This window comes from Homo sapiens, chromosome 20 (assembly GCF_000001405.40).
Source record: "Homo sapiens chromosome 20, GRCh38.p14 Primary Assembly".
NCBI lineage: Eukaryota > Metazoa > Chordata > Mammalia > Primates > Hominidae > Homo > Homo sapiens.
Genome location: NC_000020.11, coordinates 10,267,686 through 10,293,001, shown reverse-complemented (window position 1 = coordinate 10,293,001; position 25,316 = coordinate 10,267,686). Strand labels below are relative to the sequence as shown.

At 40.1% G+C, this 25,316-nt stretch overlaps 1 protein-coding gene across 15 annotated transcripts in view; it reads right to left on the bottom strand.

Moving 5' to 3' along the window:
* The window catches only part of SNAP25 (synaptosome associated protein 25), an 88,589-nt gene that overhangs the window by 14,417 nt on the left and 48,856 nt on the right, over nt 1–25,316 (bottom strand). For 11 of the 15 annotated variants that reach the window (NM_001424416.1, NM_001322907.2, NM_001322910.2 and 8 more), the window contains 3 exons: nt 17,439–17,573; nt 15,276–15,317; nt 8,230–8,278 (listed from right to left, as the gene is read on the bottom strand). In NM_001424416.1, the coding sequence (NP_001411345.1) occupies nt 8,230–8,278; nt 15,276–15,317; nt 17,439–17,510 (163 nt within the window). In that variant the 5' untranslated portion in view covers nt 17,511–17,573. Of the gene's footprint in view, nt 1–2; nt 121–8,229; nt 8,279–15,275; nt 15,318–17,438; nt 17,574–25,316 lie in introns of all 15 variants that reach the window. The other 4 variants (XM_017028022.2, NM_001424415.1, NM_003081.5 and 1 more) reach the window with 1 other exon arrangement.

Below are 25,316 nucleotides of genomic sequence, written 5' to 3'. Positions count from 1 at the left end.
ACTTGTTACAAGGACATATGAAAAGGCCACAGCATTTCCCTAAATCTTTTAAATTTTTCTCAGCCTCCTTCATGTCTTGGTTGATATGGTTCATGCCTTCTTCGACACGATCGAGTTGTTCTGGTTAGGACAAAGGGATGACAGTGTGGAATGAATTTTTTGGGGGTCTCCAACAGAACATGAGAAATGACTATGTGAAACAGAATTTGAAAGAGAGATATTACAATGCATTGTCCAAGAGGATGCATTGTTGAAGACTGCTACCGCTGCCCTACACAGGTATGGGTGGAAAGAAACAAACCAAACGATGCTCAAAATACTTTGTAATTCAACATGATGGGATGGGGTGGAAGGCCTGTTTGATTCTGAGTGTCCAGGAAAACAGCACAGCATATTCGCTTACTCAGGCACCAGTGAAATCCAGGAGAAAAAAAAACAGGGTGTTAGTTTATGTTTTAGGCATTCCAGTTTAACGCTACTAAGGAAAGGATCTGCTTCAACTTTAAAATATCTCCATCTTTTGGTTTTTAAGCATCCTCAACCAGATAAGGGTAGAAAATAGAATCCATTTTCTTCTTTGGAGACAACAGCAGCAGCAGCAATCATAAGCAATGGGTATGGATGTCTTTTCTTCCCCTAGCAGTGGCAGTCTAGCCAGAGGTAGCCATGGTCTGCACTTGATTGTGCATATGTAATTCGTAAAAGCTGTTTTTTAAAAAAAGAGTAACATCCACACAGCAACATTGTAAGTCCTGGAACATTGCAATTCCTCTATCATCCTATGACTTAATTGCTATGAATGTTTTGGAAGGCATTTCACTTCTCTGCCCCCTGATTTCCAAGTCTATAATGGGGGTCATGCTCCAAGCCCAGGCAGAGAGCAGGGAGAATGAATGTCTCTTTGGAAGTAGGATTATGAATTGGAACATAGGACAATATGGTGTCACTGCTGCCAGCATAGCTGACCTTAGTGTATCTAAGTACATAGATCAATAGTCATAAAAATGAATCATACTTCTAGGTTGCCAAGGTTACATACACCAACTTGATTAATTTTTTTGAATTGTATCACCAAATTGAGATAACTACAAGTTCAATGAAAGGATTTTTAAAACAGCTTTAAAAGACCATTAAAGGAAGGCAGCAATGGATGTCTTCGCTGGCTAATTACAAAACCTAATTACATTTCCATTCCTCTTTTCATCTGTATTTTCATGCATGCATGCCTGTGCCTCCTGGAATAAAGGCATGCCTAGAATACAACTGATAAGTACATTTCCAGCCTAAGGGCATACATTATCACTTAAACACAATTTCACATTAAGTTATACAGTGGAAATTGTGCTTCCAAAAAAACTAAGATACATTCACTAGTGACCCAAACTGCCAGACTGTGAATTTGGAAAATAAAAGCCTACTGTGTTTTCTTTCGTGAGGCTAAAGAACAGAATTCAGTTCATGAGGAATCTGCTATTTCTCTTATGCTTTTGAAATGACAGGTGAAAACAAAATTTCATTGTTTATCCAGCATTGAATACCTGGAGGAGATAATAAGGTAGTGCAGGAGAACTTTTGCCGAATAAATACAGGCACAGTGATGGCTTAAAAAAAAAAATCCGCAAATATAGCTGGGTGTGGTGGCTCATGCCTGTGATCCCAGCACTTAGGGAGGCCAAGGCAGGCAGATCACCAGAGGTCCAGAGTTTGAGACCAGCCTGGCTAACATGGTAAAACCATGTTTCTACTAAAAATACAAAAAAAATTTCTGGGCGTGGTGGCATGCGCCTGTAATCCCAGCTACTTGGGAGGCTGAGGCAGGAGAATTGCTTGAACCTGGGAGGTGGAGGTTGCAGTGAGCTGAGATTGCACTATTGCATTCCAGCTTGGGCAACAAGAGCGAAACTCCGTCCCAAAAATAAAAATTACAATTAAAAAAAATTTTTAAAAGGCTATATATATGGCAATCCCCTACATTCAAGAAGATTTTTTTCTTTTCTAAGGATTTCACTCCAGTTTCCTTTTAAGAATGCAATAAATTAGTCTGTAGATCAAGGTAAATATTCAAGTGGAGGGACTGGTGTGGGGAAAGGAACTCATCATCAGATGAAGAACCATTATATATACAGACAATAGGGATGCCAAATCCCAATCAAGTAATTGCTAATGGCCTCTGGGAATGCAGGCTTGAGATGGATTGGAGGAGGCATCTGGACTCAGAAGGAGAGATGCTGCCCCCAGCTAATGACAGCTGAAATAAGCATAGATTATGGCGTGGGGACACATATGCAATTATTTGTCTTTCTTGAGGAGTTTCTCCTAAGTTACAAAGCGAGTTGATAATTTTTTTTTTTTTTGGCCAAAATATTAACTCTCTGACAAGATATTAGGGACCCATCCACTGTGCTTCCAGAGATTAGGAGGTAACATATATATGTGAATTGGTGCACAGGTATTGGACCTATGAATTAGATAATTGATATTAAAAAGGGAAAAACAAACAGGCACGTCTAAATCCATATTTCAGAAAGCTGGGCTCTGCCATCGGTTACCAGCTTAATTTGGCAAAGTTTTGACTAAAAGAGAAAACTCTGAAGCTGAATTTGATTCAGAAAACTATTCAGAAAATAGTTGATTCAGAACACTATTTTATAACTACCAATATCAGTTGAATATATATTTACATAAGAATTCTAAGTCAAACCTTTAATTTAAAAAATATTGTGGAGTCATTTTGTTGCAGAAATTCTAGCAATAATATTAATTTTTAGAGTGTACTGAGTTATGTTTGTGGAGATGTTTGGCATATTGGGACTTCATGGCACTTCAATGATTTCTGTGAAGATGCTTCTCAGGAAATGCTTATAAGCATCTCATTCTGGGATGAACAGCAGCATCTCTGAGGCTGATGCAACGCACCATCCAGTGTTGACTGCTTTTGATCTCCCTAAGCTTGTTTTCTGGCTCATTTCTGTTTATTCTTGGGGGCTGGGAGGAGAATAACATTTTGAGTAGGGAGGGGGTCTTCAGGTAGGTGACACTATATGTTGGGGCCAGAGCTTGGGCTTTCTTTTGCCATGATATTGGATCACTGGTTATTTGTGATAGATCCACCAATGACAGAATCCTCAAGGATCTATATTAATGTTTTCCATTAATATTTTTCCAATGACTGGTGAAAACAAAATTTCTACTAATCTCTCCTAAGTAAGCCAACATGGGGCCCTTAGTATTCTCAATCTAGTAAAAATCAGTAGAAGAATAGTAAGCATTAATACTATTAATCTAGTATGCAGCCTTCATGAGTATATCCAGTTACAAGATGCTGCCTCTATGAATTTCATTTTTCTTAGCATTTATGAACATATAGAAATTTATTTAAATTTAAATAGCCCTATGTGGCTATCATGACTAAGTACAGCCTTAGTCATTCATAACAGATATTGGTGAATGGACTTTAGCTAGAGAGATGGTTTTTCAGATGCCACCTTGTAGTGCCATGAACCTTTTAAGATAGCTGACTCTCCGGACAGGAATTTACTTTGTCTTTCTTCTGTCAGACAGTAGTCAAATATTTCACTGTTTAGTTTGGAGCTGATCCCAGGAGATTTTCCCAAAAGTCACATCTTCAGCATCAAAACAGACATACAACTCAGCAAAGACCAGCAAAAGGAACAAGAGATATGCAGGTAAAAGCCCACATTAGTGCCAGGGTCATTTGGGGACTTCCCTTGGTGACAAATTTTCTAGAGGAATGAAAGTTCCAGGGCTCAGTACGTTTCCAGGTCTGGTTGTCATGCTCAGTGCTCCTTGGTGTCTCCCGATACCTGGGTATAAAGCAAGAATCCCATAGGAAATTTCCTAGTGCAATCATTTAACTGGACAACCTGGAATGGCCTGGCCTGACCCAACAGTGGTTGAGATGGTTCTTTAGAAGAATGGCTGTTTCTTGAGGCTCCCGTGCTGCTGTGAGGTAGAAATAGTCAACACTTTTGGTGCTCACGCATAAACAAAATTAGTAGAGCATAAATGAAGAGAAATTTCAAAGCAGTTACTGATCTAAACAAGTAAAGGCAAAATTAAAATGCACTTATATGGCAGTTAAGATAGCTGTTGACATGCTCATCTGTCAATTAGAAAGGTCCTTCTGTGTCTCTACTGCCTAATTAAAAAAAAAAAAAAGGTCCTAAGTTCCTATTATACTATAAATGAAATGTGTACCATTTAAGACCGGCCAGAAACCACCTACTTTCGGGGGTTTTACAGTTGCGTGTTTCTCATCAGTGTCTATCTACTCACCACACATCTGGTAAAACCCAGTCTATCCTTGTTTAACTGAGGAATTCAGCATTTACTGTGGTATGGCTATAATTGAAATGTCTTAGCCGAGAACATTAACTGTCTCATGGGGAAATCTGTCAAACAGACATTCTATTCTGCTTTGTTTCTCGGAGAATAGTACATAGGTGATTCTGGAGATAATTTGTGCTAAAGAAGATATATTTTTGCATTTTTATGAAGATTTCAGCAAATTATATCTCTAGATTTTCTTCATCAAAGTACAATGCAATTTATCACTCATGTAAGCCTGTTATTCATGTTTTCTCTTTTTCATTCCAGGTTTGTATATATTATTTTCCATGTCTTTATGTCACTGCTTTATTGTTCGGGGGGAAAAGGCTCTATTCTAAATCTTTCCTAAGTCTACCCTCCATTGTAATGTCTCTTTTTCCACCCACATGAAGTTACAAATTATTAACTTAAAAAATAAATAAGGTGAAACTGCTAATTATTTGAGTGTATATGTTTATTTATTTATTTTTTAAATTTTTTTATTTTATTATTATTATACTTTAAGTTTTAGGGTACATGTGCACAATGTGCAGGTTAGTTACATATGTATACATGTGCCATGCTGGTGTGTTGCACCCATTAACTCATCATTTAGCATTAGGTATATCTCCTAAAGCTATCCCTCCCCTCTCCCCCCACCCCACAAGAGTCCCCAGAGTGTGATGTTCCCCTTCCTGTGTCCATGTGTTCTCATTGTTCAATTCCCATCTATGAGTGAGAATATGCGGTGTTTGATTTTTTGGTCTTGCAATAGTTTACTGAGAATGATGATTTCCAATTTCATCCATGTCCCTACAAAGGACACGAACTCATCATTTTTTATGGCTGCATAGTATTCCATGGTGTATATGTGCCACATTTTCTTAATCCAGTCTATCATTGTTGGACATTTGGGTTGGTTCCAAGTCTTTGCTATTGTGAATAGTGCTGCAATAAACATATGTGTGCATGTGTCTTTATAGCAGCATGATTTATAGTCCTTTGGGTATATACCCAGTAATGGGACGGCTGGGTCAAATGGTATTTCTAGTTCTAGATCCCTGAGGAATCGCCACACTGACTTCCACAATGGTTGAACTAGTTTACAGTCCTACCAACAGTGTAAAAGTGTTCCTATTTCTCCACATCCTCTCCAGCACCTGTTGTTTCCTGACTTTTTAATGATCGCCATTCTAACTGGTGTGAGATGGTATCTCATTGTGGTTTTGATTTGCATTTCTCTGATAGCCAGTGATGGTGAGCATTTTTTCATGTGTTTTTTGGCTGCATAAATGTCTTCTTTTGAGAAGTGTCTGTTCATGTCCTTCACCCACTTTTTGATGGGGTTATTTGTTTTTTTCTTGTAAATTTGTTTGAGTTCATTGTAGATTCTGGATATTAGCCCTTTGTCAGATGAGTAGGTTGCAAAAATTTTCTCCCATTTTGTAGGTTGCCTGTTCACTCTGATGGTAGTTTCTTTTGCTGTGCAGAAGCTCTTTAGTTTAATGAGATCCCATTTGTCAATTTTGGCTTTTGTTGCCTTGCTTTTGGTGTTTTGGACATGAAGTCCTTGCCCATGCCTATGTCCTGAATGATAATGCCTAGGTTTGAGTGTATAGGTTTCAATTTTGCACCGGAAATCAGGTACCACTCTTCTATTGGGCACCTGTTGTTTAGTTATTTTTTTTAAAAGCAATGACTTGCTGCATCCTCAGTTTCAAAGCCTGGGACATTGTTACACAGATCCAGCCAACAAGTCACGTAATAATAACAAACCCATTGGGGGAGTTCTTAAGACTTCCATTGCTACTGCAGTATCTTCAACATGGAACTCTAGTAGACTTTGTTATTTGTGTACAACTTTTGACAATTTGTATTGTGAAAATTGAAGGAAAAATGTTGGGGTTTATGTTCAACTTTTTTTTCAAACTTTTTTCTCCATTTTTTGGATCAATTGGTATATATTTATTGAAAAAGTTTAATACAAATAAATAATGTAAAACCGAAAGCCTTTATGTGACAGCCAGATGCCTCCAGCTGTGCACCTATGTAGGCTGCCACAGTGTTTACATTGAGGCCAGGCTCTTCCTGGGATGCTTCAAGCCAATGGCTGAGCACAATGGGCTACTAGTGCTAGAACATTTCTGCCCAACACAGGGCTCCTCTAATCAGCAATCTTTGCTCTCGGGCTCCCCATTGGCCTGGCCGAGGGCTTCTCAGAGCAGTACCCATCTACTTTTATAGGCATCAGACCTGCTTCATAGTCTGAAGGCTGCCTCTGCCTGCTCCCGGCAGCTCTCCCCTTGACCTATCACAGACATTTCCCCAACAAATCTCTTTTGCTTCTAATTGCTTCCTGGCATTTGCTCCCCAGGGGACCCCAAATGAGGCATCTTCCTCCAGTCCCTTCTTGCTCCCACCCCAACTCCACAGAAGTCAGTAAATAAAGATCTACCTCATGTATTATATTGGTGGCAGAACAATTCTTTTATGGCCGTACCACAATTAATTGGGTTGGTCTCCCCACCGACAGATACTTAAGTTGTTTCTAGTCTTACACTATTATGAGTAAGCCACATGCATTTTACTTCATATAACTGTAAATGTATATCTGCACTGTAAAATTCTAGGAGTGGAGTGTCTTGGTCAAAGATGAGTGCCCTTTAAAATGTGAAGATATTTTCAAATTATTCTTTAAGACATTTGTATCAGGTTACAGTGCCTAACTGTGGAATAGGAGTTTCTGTTTTCCCAACATATTCACAACACTGGTTATTATCATTTTTTAAAATTTATGCCAGTCTGCTCTAAAAAGTGGTATCTTGTCATTGTTGGTGATTAGAGCATGGTTTCATACATCTGTGATGACGTCTTATTTTACATCCATTTTTCCTTTAGGTTGCTGCCCTTTTCTTTGATATGCAAGGGCTCTCTGAATTTTAGGAGAAGTGCCTTCTCTCTGTTATCTGTCAGGCACGTTCCCCCCCACAGCTTGAGATTTATGCTTAGAGTTTATTTAAGGTTTCCTGTGTTGTGAATACATTGTACATTTTTATCTTTGCCATAAAAAAAATAGTCATGACTCCAAAAAATTTTCTAATGCTTTTACAAAATATGAATAAAAAGAAAAAAACTTTGCAGAAATCTGTTTATTATGATAAGAATTCAGAACGGAATCAGGTAACTGACTAGTGGCTAGAATTATGTACAATCTCACCATAGGGCTAGATACATTGAGATGAAGAAAAATGATGGTATTACCCTTTTCAGTTTCCATGTTAGGTATAGAGATGCTATATTAAAATGCTGGCTCTCTGATTTTCCTTGCTTCTAGCATTTCTGTAATAATCTTTAAAACAGGCCAAATATTTCAATTGGTTCAATGTTGTATTTTCCAGATAATTTCCCTCAGGTTATATTCTGTGAAAAACAGCTCCCAGGTATTTAAGAAATACCCAAAACTACTAGATACTGAGTTGGGATGGTCAAAAGAAGTAGACAACATGATATGCCATACGCTCATTCTATCTACGTATTGTTAGAAGAAAATCAAATTTATTGGGAAAGTTTAGGGGCAAAGATAATAAGAAAATTCTTACACTGTCCAAAATACTATCATTTAAAAAAAATGGCTTTTGCCTTCAAAATTCAGTTACCCCAACATATATAACAGAGATAGTGGTATCATTGATTCACTCATGAAGAAGGCCTCAACATTTCCATACATTTACCAATCTTTTCAACAGAGAAAGAAAAAAAGCAAGATGAAAAATCTAGAACCCTCACATTCGTGTACATGTGTAACACATGTCAAAGCGACCATCTGCGTATGCACAAATAATTTTAAAATGCACATTATTCAGAAGAGGAATTGTTCTTACTGAAGAAATCTGAACTTACCTCCTTGTTCATCCAACATAACCAAAGTCCTGATACCAGCATCTTTACTCTACATTCCAATAATGGTAGCAAAGTTGAAAAGGAGTTAGAGAGAGAAAAGAGAGAAAGAGAAATCAGTAAGGGGACAATTAGCCCTATAAATGGAAAATGAAGAAGGACCAAAAGAAAAAAGGGAGAAAGTATGACAAGAGCCCTGAGGGGTTATGGAGGGATAGAAGAATGGGCCAGCTGTGGACTTGATCTACCAGTGATGCTTTAGGCAGAATGAGGAAATGGAGCACTGTCTCCATGGGGTAGGGCTGGGGTGGGGCCTGCATGAAATCAGAATACACATACTTCATATTATACTGTAATTTTATGTTTGGAAATAAACGTGTCTACAGTTTTTATAACACCAATCACAGAAAGCAAACCTTTGGAAATCTTCTAGTCTAAATTTTCTTCTTTGGCACTATCTATCAGAAAGTCTTCATCAGTGAAATTGGGGAGGGATGCCCCATGGGAAGATGTGCAAGAATCTTGGTGGTGGGGGTTGAGGTTTTCAGGTTCATCAGAAGAGAGCATGGCTTTACAAAGGTTGGGAAACACAGCTCAAAAGGAAACTCACTCTCTCTCCATTTTTCTATCTCTATGGAGAGGGTCTACAGTATTTAGAATGGGTTTGAGATGAGAAATAAGGGCTCTTAATTCTGAAATCTAACATTCTGCATAATAATCTAGTGTGAGAAAATAATTCCTTTACAAGCTTTACAGAAATTCTTCTGTGCCGGGGAAGTCTTTAAAAGGCATCCCTCATCTCCTTACTGTTCAAATAAACCAAATACCACCTGAACCATGGGCAGGAGTTGGTGGTCAGGACAGAAGGAACAAAGATATCTGTATCACTCATACTTAAGAATCCTCATTTCTAGAAAGCCTAATCAGTTAATGCCTTCCATTTTACAGGGCGACTGTTAATGGGTATAAAATGGCATTGCTTATAGTTTGGATGAATTGGTTTTTCAAGTAAAGCTCATGGTACCCCCAGAAGAAATTCTAAGCTAGGACCTCTCTCATGGTGCTTATTTTCCACTGATGTACTTTGAACTAAGAAAGAAAGAGAGAGATACTAGTGGAGGCCAACAAAGTGCTTTTAAAAAAATAGTATTTTAACAATTAAATTTCAATAGTGCTTCTGAAAAATAAAATGCTGAAAATGATTTCTGTGAGCTTTTATAAACTCACCATTTTAGAGAACGTGTGCAGTTAAATCTCCAGGACACAAAAGCCTACCTTGCCTTTGAGCACACTTTGATAGGCTTTAGTGGCAAAGTCAGGATGTAGTATGGACAGGGCTGGCCCAGGGTGGCCTCAGGAGTCCTTGACAGCGCAGACTGTGGAGACAGACTCTGGGCTGGAATGCTGGTGATTTCATTCCCTAACTGTGGGGCCTCAGGCAAGTGTCCTGACTGTTCTGTGCCTCCGTTCTCCTTTGTAAGACAGCAATGACAACAGTTAATACCTCATTGAGGAAGTATGTGCGTTAAACAAATTAATATGTGGAATGTGCTAGAATGGAGTGTTTCTAAAATAAGTGTTTCTAAAATAAATATATTCAGAAAATGCATCTATAGCAGCCTATCTAGGCAAACTAAAAATATCATCATTATCGAGTATCTGAAGCTTCTAGACCACTACTTTTCAAACTGGAATGTGCATATGAATCCTCTGCACATGAATCATCTTGTAAAATGTAGATTCTGATTCAGTAGGGCTAGGGTAGAGCCTGGGCTTTTCATTTCTAACAAGCTCCCTGACATATTGAGCTGGTTCAGGGACATACATTGAGTAGCAAGATTCTAGACTACAAAAGACATTTCAAAATATTTTCTTTAAATGGGTTGTAAACAGGCTTTTGTCTGTACTAGCCTGTATTTTAATGATTTATTTGCTCTTTTCTGCATTCTTTCTCCATTTCTTGTGAGATGAAATTATAAAAGGCAGATGGCTATTCGGGCATAGGGATGTGACAATGCAGGTTCTGCTGAGGGCAGAGGCATCTCGGAGAGCACTTTCTCCTCGAGGGCCCAATCAGGCCACACATGAAATCTTCGCTCCATTCTACTGGGGACAGTGGATGGGAAAAAGGTTAGTGATTTTAGTTTGGTCAGTCCAGCCCTCATCTGTTTACACTTTCTTGATATTCTATTATACCCATTTATTTTTATGTGGAGCCCTGCAAGTATAATTGCACATTTGTCCAATTTGGTGCTGAATGTTTTAACACTAGAATGATTCACGCAACTAATTTGAGGGAGCAAGAGTTTTTTAGGTTGCCCCAGTTTGGGAGAACAGAAGCAGAGAGCACTGATGTGGGAGTCACGAACACTGGGTTGTGCTCTTAGCTCAGCCAGCAACCAGTCACGAGACCCTGGAAGAGACATCTGACCTTCCAGAATGTTTCTCCACGTTTAAGATAAGGATAGGGATGCCGAGTAAGATTGAAAAGATTGAGTGGTTGGTTAATCACTCACAGGCTCCTTTTTACTTTCCTTCCTTCCTTTCCCTTCCTTCCTTCCTTCCTTCCTTCCTTCCTTCCTTCCTTCCTTCCTTCCTTCCTTCCTTCCTTCCATCCTTCCTTCCTTCCCTCCTTCCTTCCTAGTGTTTATTGAGCCTCTACTCTGCTCTAGGCACTAAGGATAACGGGTAGACAAATGCATGACCTCTCAAATGTGTTCCTTTGTTTGTGAGACAATTTGGTCAGGTGGGCAGAACCAGGATCTGGGAGTCATTACTTCTGAATTCTAGACCTATCTTCATAATGCTAGTGCTCTAAGGTCACCTGTTCTGTGTCTCAGCTTCCCAGCTGTCAAATGGGGAGAGTAACTGCTCCCTCATAATTTCTCACAGTAGTTATGAGAGTAAAATGAGCCTCAGAGGGTCCAGCCTCTCAAGGTTCACCTCTATGGGAAGCTGACGCCTCCGTGAGTTCAGGAAATAAGACATTGAGTAGAATCTCAATCCATTTAGAATGAGCTGCTTTGTTTCCTTAGATCCTTTCTTTTTGTGGAATTCTCAAAGAAAAATAATGATTGTAAGAGATGCTGGTGGAAGAGAAGTGTGATGCGTAAGAACTTACACTCTGAAATCAGGTAGACCTGGGTTTTAACTTCATCTCTGCCGTTTATACCTGTGTGTCTCAAGCAAGCTACTTAACCACTGTGTACCTCAAGTTCCTCTACAGTAAAACAGAGATCAAAGTAGTAGTAGAAGGAAGCTAACAAAGATTAAATTAGGTAATGTACATTTGATGATGATGACAATGATAGCTCTAAGCAGAGTATCTGGCACATTTCACCTCGGTACATGTTAGAACTTGCGTTTGGCTCCACTCTTTTGCTGACAGCTTCTATCAAAAATAACTAGGTTGCTTTTGTGGGGACCTAGAAGCTTAAGGAGATGGGCAGGGATAGAGACATGATTTCAGGGAGGCAGAATATTACTTTCTCTTATTCCTTAAATAGTATTATGTTTTAGTAGCTAGGAGTGTGAGGAGGTGGTTCTATTTTTATCTAAGCTCAATTCTTAGTTTCTGTTTGAGATTGCTGGGAAAATCGCCTACCTAAAAACAGGGGAGTTGAAGATACAAAGGATTACTTTTTCTTTTCCATTTCTTTCTGTTCTCTTTTATTTCTCTATTTTAATTTTTAAAAAAATTTTTCCAGATGAACTAAGACAATCTTTATAGAACGTTTCAAATCTTTCTTTTGCCGTTCTGAGATGCTTTTCCCAAAGTCTAAAACATCTGAACTAAAACTAGAACACTCCAGGCACTCTCTCCAAAAGACCCCACATCTGCATATCTGAAAAGGACTGCTCAACCTGATTTTTTTCATTTTTAGGGGAAAGTTTGGCATACACCACTTTAGAATGCTTATTCTCTTTGCATGGCCAAAGTGTCTTGAAAGTCTTGAAAGATAAGTTGGCATAAAAAGAAGGATGCTAAAACATTCTTGAAATATTAGTTGTGCAATAACCACTCCATGGAAGTTATGTGGTGTCTCTGAATTGGCCTGCCCTAAGGCTGTGGGGCTTTTCCTGGGCTTAATTTACATAGCCCAAGGCATTGATGTGCAGACTCCATTTCCTGAATTTAGCATTAGCAGAGTTAACTTTTTTTCCTGGAATTAAATACTACCTCCTCGAGGATACCTTAATGAGTCTCTTACCAGAATCAGTTGTTCCCTCCCCTATGCACCTAAGGCAAATATGGCCTTGAATTTGCAGAGCTACTTACATATCTGTTTCCCAGCAAGATACCAATTTACATCTCCCTTCCTATCCCGGAGTTAGGCATTCTGTGAATATTTGTTGAAATGCATTCACCAAAAGAGAGTTCCTAACTCCAGGCTGAGAACCAAGTGCTACATGATTTCTAACCTTTTTACCTATCTATGGCATTCATTTTTTCTGAACTTTCTCCACTCACCTCTGTGTAGTTTTACACTATCCTTGAGATGCTGATAATGATGACTATTAAAAAGCAAGGCCCCACCCCTAACCACGGCTACACCCTGGAGTCTGTTAAGGATGGTGTAAAGTTGTATATTCCGCTGAGAGATTGTTTGCCTTAGGGAGACTTCACAAGTTTAGTAACCTTTCCTGTCTTTGAGACTGAATTTCAATAAGGATTCAGCTCAATTCAGATTATATGGCGCTGTCAAACCTTGGGATCATGAGTAAGATCCTGGTACTTCAATCCTCAGGTTTTCCAAATGATTTCTGTCCTTGATGAATATTTAATGCAGATTCTCTTTAGAGAACGTCCTTTTTGATTGAAAAGCAGAATATCATCTAAACAGCAAATGTCCTAGACATCAGGATGTTTGACCATAAATAGAAAATAACCCAGGAGGAAGTAAGAGCAAATCAATCTACTCTAATAACACTTTGCTCACAATTTCCTAAGCATGGAAAGTCTAATAGCCTCCTCTCATTTATTAGAGGCAGGAGATAGCTTCCATCTCTTTTGCTCCTTGTTCTAAGATATAGCTGCATGCTTGATTGAAAAATGCTTTAGGAGAAACAAAAACATATGATTCGAGAATCCTACTTCAATCAATAAGCTTTTGAGAGATTTTCCCCCAGAATAAATTAGAGCAGATACTCATTTTTGAAGACTGGACGACATGGCTTGCAGTTTAAGACGATACATGAAAAAGTGACCATGTCTCAGACTCTGATGTGTAAGGGATCAGTTCAAGGTGTGCGTTCTGATTCATTTGTTTTGCTCCTTTCCACAGTCTAGGCAGCATTTCAACATTGCACAGGCAGGCAAATTAGTGACGGTTCTGATATTTTGGAAACTTATATCAGATGTGCACACACGTAACCAAAAAAAGAAAAATGGGATTGGAGGCTATGGTTGAAAGCCATAAGGATGTATTATGATAATAATGTAATAATATACAATCAAATAAATATCTCAGTTGATTTCTAGGCTCCCTTCAGGTTAACTTCAGAGCTCATGTAGGCATATTACTAAGATGGGCTTCTTTCATTTTTCTTCCTCCTGAAAACTTGAGAGAGAATAAGTCCATGCTAAGAGTCTTGCCTGTACTCGTAGATTTAGAATATCTACCTCCTTCTTCATCCTCAAGTATTTCTGCATGAGCAGCAGCATTCCCTGGACAGTGCAGATAAAATATTGCTCTTCACTTAGACAGAACGCTGCTTCCCTATACTGAGGACCTGCTTTGCTAGGGCTGCCTTCCGGTGTGTCCCGTTTGTGCCACATTGCAGGCTCGAATTATCATTTTGGGGGATAACAGATTTTGTTACGTTCGCCCCACCCTCCCACCCCCCGCCCCACCCACTTCCCCGGCTTCCTAGGGAGTGCATGCTTGCCACCTCCTTCCCACTCCTCCAGTGGCAATTCACATTTAGCCATATCTCATTCCTAGGTGAGAAGCTGAAGCTACAGAAATAAGAGAAGGAGGACATTGGCTCCTAGAGTGTGAGAGGCGGCTGCCTTTCCTTTTATCCTTTGTAAAATTTATCTTTTCTTCCCTTTCAAGTTGTTGCATATGAAATTTATGATAGCATGAGGGGAGTAGGCTCATTTAATCATTCTGCCAGAGAAAGCCCAAGATCTCTAAAAACGATAATCACACATGAATTTATATACTGATAAGCAGTTCAAAGCACAGCTAAAACAGCATCTCGCTGAATAAAAACTATTAGGCTTGTCTTATTAGGTTAAGATAAGTATAGTCCAACCCATTCTTTTTCCACTTCATCTCTCCCATTGGGCAAGTTCAATTAATCCATTTATTTTGCCTGGCCGACTGCTGCTCTACCAAATTGGAATGAGTGAGGTTTATGATTGCAAGTGCCCTTTTGATTCCATTATTGCTATTTGCCCCATTTTACCCATTTAAAAATAGTTTGGGATTCATTAACCCTGCCTGGCAAATGGATGCTCAATCCAGGCAGGAATATAAAAAAGCTTCTGTATTTATATTATTGGACTTGATATTTCCCTTTGTTAAAGGGCTTTCCTATTTTTTCATAAATTTTAGTGCTTGACTTTAAATAGAACAATTTCTAAAAATGATACACCTATATGCGTACATATTTTTAAAAGTCATATATGTGGCTAAAGTTAGAACAGAATCTCAAGATTAGATGTAATTTATAGGCACAAAAATAATTACAAATAAAGTTTTATGTAGATAATTCCTTTGTATATTAAGAATTGCTCTAATTTGCTTAAAGTGATACAATCGTCTGTGATTTCTTGAGAGCACAGACTTGGAAATTCTATTATTCTCTGCTTCCCAGACCAGACTACAGAGGTGGCTTGGGCTGGGAAGGAGGGTGAAGGTGTCTTCATGGCTATCTGGCAACTTAAATACAGCATCTCCCTCATTCTGTGCCTTTCTGATAGGCTACATCCACACTGGAATCTAGGGGATCATGGCCCAAGGAAACATCATAGCAACTAGGAAAGGATGTATCAGCATAAGGGATTTGTTCCTTTATCTTAAAATACTGTCACTTCTTACCTCTTCAACCAGTTGCAGCATACGACGGGTGCTTTCCAGCGACTAAGATTTAAAAAACAAACAAACATAAACTTTATGAGTGCAGGATCCAGAGATCTTGGAAAATCAGAAATACTTTATTTACTTGAGAAACACAAAGGGTCTCTGTCACATATTCTTTTCAGTTGGCAAGTGAAACAAAAAATGTCATTACATTTTCAAACTCTTTCCTATCAGGCTTTTTACATGATCAGATTCCCTAAAGCAATTACATTACAGCTTATCTTCAGAAAATAAAAACCATATGAAGCTGATCTTGATATCAAAGACAAAGTAATCTGGAGAAGATAATTTTGCATGCTCAGAATGCATGAAAAATTATCTCAATTACTCAGAGGACTAATTTGGCCTCCCTGGGCCAGGAACATTAAATTTTAAACACAAACATAATTTTTCATGAATCGAGATGAATATAACATCAAGTTTCTTACAAAGCTCCTAGAAACACAATTGGAAGTTCTTATCAATACAAATTAAGTTGTTGCCTTAGGGTGAAAAAAATCAAGCATGTTTGAAATGACCAGCCTATAGGAGAGAGCTATAATAATTATCTTCATCCTTAGATAAGAAAAAACGAGACGGAAAGGCTGAGCTCTGCAATGGTCCCCCGGGCACTGCGTTGTCACTTTTTTCTCAGTTCTTTTGAAACGACTAGAATCCAACAACCAGTGTGATTTCTCAAAGCTTTGCTTTTAACTGACAAACTTATTTTGAACAAGATTCTGCAGGAACCTGAAGGATGTTAACTTCCCTGGAAGAGCTGTCAGCCAGCTGCTTTTTGAAATAGAATGGCTGCAAGCAGCAGTCTGCTGGTAAAGGTTTAACTACCGGCTCTCTGGGAAAAATACACAAATACATACATGTATTCAAGTTTATTATTTTACTGATATAAAGGATGAATAGCACAAAATTTATAAATAATAATAAAATATACAATACTCTCTTTATTGTAAATTCCGCATAGCCAATTGATTCTCACAGAAAACTTTTACTGATTTTTGCTGAACTTTTGTGTCTACAGCTAACCATGTGATGAACCAGAGTAGTTCTGACATGAATGTTGGTTGGATATTTTCATGTATATTAATGAGTAAGAAGAAAATTAAACAATGAAGGCATGTGTTGGAATTGTACTCATTTGTGAATGACAAAAAGGATTTCTTTGCCTTAGAGAATCATAATTTTCAAATACTGGAAGATTTCCTCTTTTTGTGTTATTCATAGTATAATGGCTGCAGACATACATACTTTTAACTTTAATCTGCATTATTAATATTTTCTCTACTTTTTAAAGTCTAGACAATCAGCAAAACAATAAGTCAAGTCCTGATCTGCAGTATTTGCAGATTCTTGGGTGATAAATACTCTTACTCTGTCTGATTTTTAAATTTTTAAATATTTTTAGAGATGGGAGTCTCTCTATGTTGCTCAGGCTGGTCATGAACTCTTGGCCTATGCGATCCTCCTGCCTCAGCCTCCCAAGTAGCCGAGATCACAGGTGAGAGCCGCTGTACCCAGCTCTGCCTGATTTTAAGCTACAACTTCATATTACTGATCATGAAGTTGGAAAGACACATGGTAACACATTATTATACCTTATTTCCACCCTACAGATAAAATGGATGAATCTCAAGATCATGGATAATAGTAAAATGTAGCAAAATAATTAGGAAGTGATGAAGTTTGAGTGTTTATTACTTTTGATTTTAATAGAATCTATCTAATTGTCAGTTTATGTAATTCAGTTTTAATAATGGCTGCATTTAGCAACCAGCTTGCAAAGTTCCTGAAAATGTTAACAATCTGTTCTCGGAACTGAGCCTTCTCCAGCATAGCACTGAATTAAGGCACCCAAAGACATTGCTTTCTTTTCTTAGAGGACCTTGACTTCTCAAGGTTTCTGGAAATTGAGAGTTAGGGCCAAGACAGTAATTTGTATGCAGCTTCTATAATCAACTTATTCTGGTCCACAGAAGCCTTAGGTGTACAGAAAATCAAAGTCATATTACTTTTTCTAAAAGAAATTGAGACATTGAAAGAAAGGCTTTCCCTACCTGAACCTGAATAAGACAAACCACTCAGGCCTTCATCTTTTGCCTCCCTTCCTAGGTCTCCACTCCTTACCTCATCAGCCAACTGGTCAGCCCTTCGCTGCATCTCCTCCAGCTCATTGCGCATGTCTGCGTCTTCGGCCATGGTAGCGGTGGGGAGTGGCTGGGCGCCTGGGCTGGGGGGTCAGTGACGGGTTTGGCTCTGGACCTGGGAAGAAGTAGATATGAAAATATGAGAGCTTATATATGTTCATGTAGGTGTGTGCAAAGACCAGAAAATCTAAATGGCCCATACTCAGTCCACATGACTCAGTTTTCTGATCTGAAAGCCATACTCAGACAGGGGTCAACAGAATTGTGCTGTTTCTCCGAAGGATGCCACAAATACATACTTGCCAATTCTGCCATGGAGATAGACACCTATCTACCGATGAAATATTTTTAAAGAGACAAACTACCCAAGGGTTGGGAATGATGAGGTTGGAGGGATGTGGTTTGGGGTTAGTGTACTTTTATCATCACATTTATTTATTTATTTATTTATTTATTTATTTATTTATTTATTTAAATAGCTCTATTAAGGTATAACAGATATACAGTCCACCCCACATATTTGAAGTGTACAACTTGAGAAGTTTTGACATATGTATACACCCAGGAAACCATGACTGCAATCAAAACAATGAACATAGCCATTACTCCTCCAAATTTCCTACCCACCCACTGGCCCCTGCCCTATCCCACATGTCTATGCCCAGAAAACTGCTGATCTACTTTCTTTTTTTTATTTTTTTGAGACAGAGTCTCGCTCTGTCGCCCAGGCTGGAGTGCAGTGGCGTGATCTCAGCTCACTGCAAGCTCTGCCTCCCGGGTTCACGCCATTCTCCTGCCTCAGCCTCCCGAGTAGCTGGGACTACAGGTGCCTACCACCACACCTGGCTAATTTTTTGTATTTTTAGTAGAGACGGGGTTTCACTGTGTTGGCCAGGATGGTCTCGATCTCCTGACCTTGTGATCCGCCTGCCTTGGCCTCCCAAAGTGCTGGGATTACAGGCGTGAGCCACCGCACCCAGCCTGATCTACTTTCTGTCACTATACATTAGTTTGCATTTCCTATAATTTTATATAAATAAAAATCACATAGTGTGTACTACTTTTTGTCTGCCTTCTTTCACTTAGCATAATTATTTTGAGATTTATCTATGTTGCAGCATGTATTAATAGTTCATTCAATTTTTGTTGTTGAATAGTGTTCCATTGTGTTTAGAAGCATGTGGAAGCCAAAGGCAGAAAATCTTTCATCTATTTCAGTCATCATCAGAGGTTGCCAAAAGGGCTTGTGTGAGGGTGAGCTGCTATCACTCCAAAGAGGGTGGGTCCTTGGTCCTGAAAGGTGACCAGTCCATTTCTTGGCTACTCTCTTGAAATCCCACATGGTACAAATGACAGGTACAAGGACTGGGTCTATTCCGGAGAGAGCCCTCCTTCCTCCTTCCTTCTCAAATATTTATTGAGCACCTGTAATATGCCAGGCAGTGTTAGGCACTAGGGATACAGTGATGGACAAGATAGGCAAATTCCCTGCCTTTACAGAATTCAGTCTAATTGGGGAGATGCAAGCAAAAGAGGGAATTAGATGATTCAGGATGATGATAATTACACTAGGGGACATGTCTGGTATCATGGGTGCCCATGGGTTTGCAACAGGCCTTTCTGAGGAAGCCATGTCCCCAGGCCATCGAAGGGAAGGGGGCAAAGGGCCCGATGGGGTAGGTATCTGATAGAATGAAAAATTCTCTGTGAGTAGCACATTTGAAGAAGGCATGGGCTCTTGTCTTGTAGCGGAGATGGTCAACTGTGCACTTTAACCTCACTGTTGCATGGTAGAGCATGATCTCTGGGAAATGGCTGTGCAGCCAGGAATTACATTTCTAATTCCCATTGCAAGGAAGTGGTGCTCTGTGGCTAGAGACAGTCCATGAGTGGTAGTAGAACAAAGTGTGTCCCTGTCAGTCTAAGGCAGTTCAGAAGCAGGTATTCTCCTCCCTCTGTTTCTCCTTCTGCCAGAAATACAGTCTTAAAGGATGGTTAAGCCATGAGACCATGAGACAGAAGGAACTTGGGCCCTCCATATCCCTGCATGGAGAAAAATGACTCCTGGCCAGTAACACCTGAACTCTTACGTGAGCAAACAATATATTTCTATTATGCTATGGAAAATGTGAGGGTTGTTTTGTTATAGCAGCCTGTGTTACACTAACTAGTAAATGTCTGAAGAAACTTAAAATGAAACAGAAACATTGCATATGAGCATGATTTCCTAACCAAAAAACATATTTTTGTTTGTCTTTCTATTGAAAACCGAAGCTGGGAGAGGAAATTAGATTTGGGGCCTTGGGGCACTACCATGTTTATTATTATTATTATTTGCATGAGAATGAGAATCACTTTTCGGAAAAATAAAAATGAAAATTCTGTATGAAAAAAAAAATCAGGAACATACTCATTGGGAGGCAAGGGAACAAAAGTTCCCAGAGGCAGGTCCTAGATCTGATCCTGGGGGAGGAGGCTCTGCCATCTCACCCTCCAGGTCCACGATTCTATTGCTTTCTCAACAAGGATGGAATTTTAGTACATATTAATATCACTTTCCAAATTTATTGCTCTTGTGAAAAAGGAGAAATCATACTCTTTAGGGTTCTTAGAAGGAATCCTAAAGTGAAACTTCTTTGGAGATAACAGGTTTCACCGTTCTCTACCCAGTGATTGCCGGGCAAAGCAACAAATATGGAATCTGAGTAAAAAAAGAAATAACAAAACTTCAGGGTTGCCTTATTCTACCACTGGCATTAAACAAATAATGGAGTAAGTTTATGTGAGGTTAGCTTTATGGGCAGTCATTTTATAACTGACAGAGCATCTTACGATGAGCCTGCTAATTTTCGAATGCGTGTTCTGGCCACTAGAACATGTGCTCGTGAGATGATGTAGAGATGTGAACACTGTGTTTTATTTAAATACATGAGACTTTATTTCCATGTCTCCATTTTACAAATTAGGATCTAGAAAACAGACACTGGAAGGAATTTACACCAAGTCACTCCAGAATCTTAAGATGCACAAAAATGAAATTTTAGTATTCCCAAGTGACCGGGGATCTACCCTCCAGAATAAAGCAGTGGACCCGTGGGGAAGTTGAGTAGACTATGGACCATAGTTCAGTGGAGTGGGTGGATAAAGGCATTGATGTCAGAAAGACCCAGCTGGACCGCTGGCTCTGGCGCTCAGAAGCTGGGTGAGTCTGGGTAAGTTCATCACCATCTCTGAGCTTTAGTTTTCTCAACAGGACAAACAATGCCAATCTCATGGGGTTGTTGAGGGGAATAAATTACAGAAAAGTTCTGGCCAACATTTTTTGTAAAAAAGGATGTGGAGCTTAATATTCAGAAAGCCTCACTAATTCAGGACAGCCCTACACCCTTGGCTAAGAGTGGAACAAACCCGGTATTTGTTAATCAGCTTTCCTCTACTAACGGCTAGGCACAAGACATGTTGCTGTGGTGCTGAGCACCCATGGAAGCTTGAAACCAGGGAAACCAGCAGAGTGCCTGAGCCTCCAGTCTCCAAGCAGCACCTCTCACAGGAGTACCACGAGGAGACAAACAAGAGTGCCTTCTGGCCCCACGCTCCATCTTTATATTTTGCTGCTGGGTTCCTGGGGGGGAAATGTGTATCTTCGGCCTAAGCAAGCCATTGACCTTTCCTTTTCACAGGCCAGTTTATTAGAAGGCAGGGGTCCATGTGCTTTCAGACTTGTAGTGCTATTGCTCTGTCCCACTCCTTCAGGTCTATTTGCTGATGAATGTTTCTGTGCATGCTCTCTCTCTTCTCTCTCTCTCTCTCGCTCTCCCTCTCTCTCACACATACTCAAGTTTCCTGTGTTTCCTTGGCAATCTCCTCTCAAAGTTGTTATTCTCAGCATGTGAAGAACAGCTGTAGGGCGCCCTGGCTCCAAGCTGACAGCAGCCTATCCAGGCCTGGCTGATGGGCAGCTGGTGCGATGGCGGAGAAGCCATGTGGCAGATACCCTTGGTTTCATCACTTTCACGGTTCCCCCAGGAACTCCCACACCTTTGTCCTGCTCTAAAACATGGAGATACGTCTGTGATTTGGGAGGAGGGCTGATGAATCTGGTGGATCTCAAACACACAGCATTTCAAAGCTGAAAAAGCAATTCCCCCTCTCCTAATAAGAACGGCTGGAGAGTGGGCGCTGAGCGTACCTCCAGATCTTCTGTTGGGATGTTTACTGCTAGTGTTTAATAAATTGTTCCTATAAACCCCAAACTCATGCATGTTAGCATTCTAAAAGACAGCAGCTGAAGAGGCATAAGGATGTTTATTAATAGTAATTTCAGTAGCTGAAAGGACGTTAGTAGTGAAGTGGCATTTATGATCAAGGCAGCCTGCAATACATCCCTCATATTAGCACAATAAACTGCCATCTTGTGTGTTGCAGAGCAGGTAGAAAGAGGAAACTAGGAAGCAGAAGAAATTAGGAAGAAAAGCCACTCAAAACTATTCCCCGAGGCTCTGATTGTAAGACAAACTCCCAGTCTATTAAGAGCCTAACAGTATCTAATTAATTATCTCAAATCACCAGTGCTTATTAGCAAAGGGTCTGACCCCTAGTAAGGGTTCAATTCATGTTAACTGACATGGATGAACTGTTCTGACACTCCCATGTAGCATTCAGTGTTCCCAAATCAGCACTTTACAAGGTGTGGTCCAGGACAGAGCTTCTGAAACTTCCCCCAGAGTCAGAATATGCAGAAACCTTGTTAAAATGGATTGCTGGGCCCTACCCTCAGGGATTCTAATTCAGTTGGTCTGAAATGGGGTCACTGATTCTGCATTTCTTTCTTTCTTTTTTTTTTTTGAGACAGAGTTTCACTCTGTCACCTTGGCTGGAGTGCAGTGGTGCCATCTCAGCTCACTGCAACCTCTGCCTCCTGGTTCAAGTAATTCTGCTGCCTCAGCCTCCCAAGCAGCTGGGATTACAGGTGCATGCCACCACGCCCAGCTAATTTTTTGTATTTTTAGTAGAGATAGGGTTTCACCATGTTGGCCAGGCTGGTCTCGAACTCCTCACCTCAAGAGATCCACCTGCCTTGGCCTCCCAAAGTGCTGGTATTACAGGCGTGAGCCATCGTGGCCAGCTGATTCTGCATTTCCAGCCAGCCTTCAGGTGATGCTGAAGCTGCTGGTTCACAGAGCACACGTTGAGTAGCTCTGGTCTGTAGGACCTTCTCTCTTGGAATGTTCATGAGCATCACCAGGTGGGGTGGTGGGAGTCCTGTAGTTTTTTCTTCTTGCTGTTTTTGAGATAGAGTTTCGCTCTTGTTGCCCAGGCTGGAGTGCAATGGCATGATCTCGGCTCACCACAACCTCTGCCTCCCAGATTTCAAGCAATTCTCCTCCCTCGGCCTCCCAAGTAGCTGGGATTACAGGCATGCACCACCACGCCAGGCTAATTTTGTATTTTTAGTAGAGACGGGGTTTCTCCATGTTGGTCAGGCTGGTTTCGAACTCCTGACCTCAGGTGATCCGCCCGCCTCGGCCTCCCAAAGTGCTGGGATGACAGGCGTAAGCCACCGTGCCGGGCTGGAGTCCTATAGTTATATAGAGTGGGAAACAAGGGGCAGGCTACATTAACCAGGGGCTTTCGGGAAGTTAGGGCCCACGGGCCAAATCCAGCTGTTCTTGTATTGGCCTTGAGCTGAGGATGGTTTTTACATTTTTAAAATGATTTAAAAGACTCAGAGAAAAAATTTTGTGACATGTGAAAATTATATGAAATTCAAATTTTAGGGTCCATAAATAAAGTTTTACTGGAGCACACACACATCCATTTGTTTATCTGTTGTCAATGGCTCCTTTCATGCTACAACAACAGAGTTGAGTGGAAAGACTATATGCCCCCAAAAGCTGAAAATAGTTACTACCTGGTTCTATGCAGAAAATATTTGCAGATCCTTAGCCTAAAAAGAATTAAGCAAAAATTCTGAAATTTTTCAAAATCAATCTTAATATCCCCAGAGCATTATACATTTCCTATAGACACACATGGTATATTTTTTCTGTTCATATGTGTCTGTAAAATCCCCTTTTCATGGAGCTTCTAAGGTGGGGTTAGTGTTTTCTGGAACATAGTTTATTTTTAATTTTTTATTTTTAAGATGGAGCCTTGCTCTGTCGCCCAGGTGGGAGTGCGGTGGCACAATCTTGGCTCACTGCAACCTCCACCTCCCGGGTTCAAGTGCAACCTCAGCCTCCGGAGTAACTGGGAGTACAGGCATGCACACCATGTCTGGCTAGTTTTGTATTTTTAGTAGAGATGGGGTTTCACCATGTTGGCCAGGCTGGTCTCGAACCCCTGACCTCAAGTGATCCACCTGCCCTGACCTCCCAAAGTGCCGGGTTACAGGCGTGAGACACTGCGCCGGACTTCTGGAACATATTTTAAAACAATGCATGAAGTAAAATACAAGATGTAAAAACAAATTTGCCTTTGATTGACTATTCCTACAGGATTTTAGGATTGCAAATCAGATTTAATCTATATGATTGATTGCAAGGTTATAGGGTGCCCTTGTGGCCCTCAAAACAATTTCTAACTTCTGCAACCAGTTGTGGACAAATGTTCCCAGCCCCAGCAGTAGTGGTGGGAGACAGAAACATCTGAGACAGATGTTTAGCATCAGAAACGGAAACATCTGAGGGTCTGTCACTGTCAAGATACTTGCTTCACGGTGGGCAGGCTGCAGTTATTCTTCAGTGTCAAGGGTAATTTGAAAAGCTCTTTATTCTTTAATGCTACACTTAAGTCTATCTGAAACCTTAATGACATGAGGAGCAAATGGACTCCACAGAAAACTGTTCTTCCCTGTCAAGGGGCTTACTTAGTTAGGTGCCTTAGGGTAAAAATGCGTTCCTGCTGAAGACTCTGAACTGAAATATGAGTTTAGGGCCCAGGAAGAGAGGTGAGTGTGGATAGAGCAGGGTGTGCTTTTTGATATACAAAGTGAATAGAGACATGGCTATTATGCTGGGGACATGGGTCATTAGTCCAAGTGCCAAAGGACAGGAATGTCTCAGGAAAGGCATAAGGAAAGTGTACCCTGATCTAATATATTTCTTTCTGTTCCTCTTTTAATAAATAAACCAAACTAACAAATATGTATAAATCAACACCCATCAGCTGAATTATCACAGAGAGCCAAAACCTACATCTTGATGTCTCGCCACACTGTTCATCATTTGTATGAAGCTTCTGCAGGATGGATCCTTCTCTTCCTGCAGACCCTGCCTGTTTTCTGGTGGAGGTACACCTTCAAATTCAACAAAAGTTTATGAAAACTCACTATATTCAACAAAGCCCAAAGAAGAAAAAAAGGATTTTATAAACCAAGTGGGACAACTCTCCTTATCTATTAATAATAATCATATTAACTAACACTTACGGAGGGCTTGCTCTTTGTTGGGCACTATTTTAAGTGCTTTTCATATAAAATATACCTTTACACAAACTTTCAGTGACACACGCTGTGCATACTATTACTATCCCCACTTTGAGATTATGAAACAGGCTTAGCGGTAACTATTAAGATTAGGCTAAATGTTAGATCAAGAGTTTGGGTGATTTAAAAAACATATTTTCATAGCATATTTATTCTCAAAGCAAAGTGTGTAGCTATTTCATGTTTTAATTAAAAACTGGAGACTATTGGCCGGGCACGGTGGCTTATGCCTATAATCCCAGCACTTTGGGAGGCCGAGGCGGGCAGATCACAAGGTCAAGAGCTAGAGACCATCCTGGCCAACAGGGTGAAACCCCGCTTCTACTAAAAATACAAAAATTAGCTGGGTGTGGTGGCGTGTGCCTGTAGTCC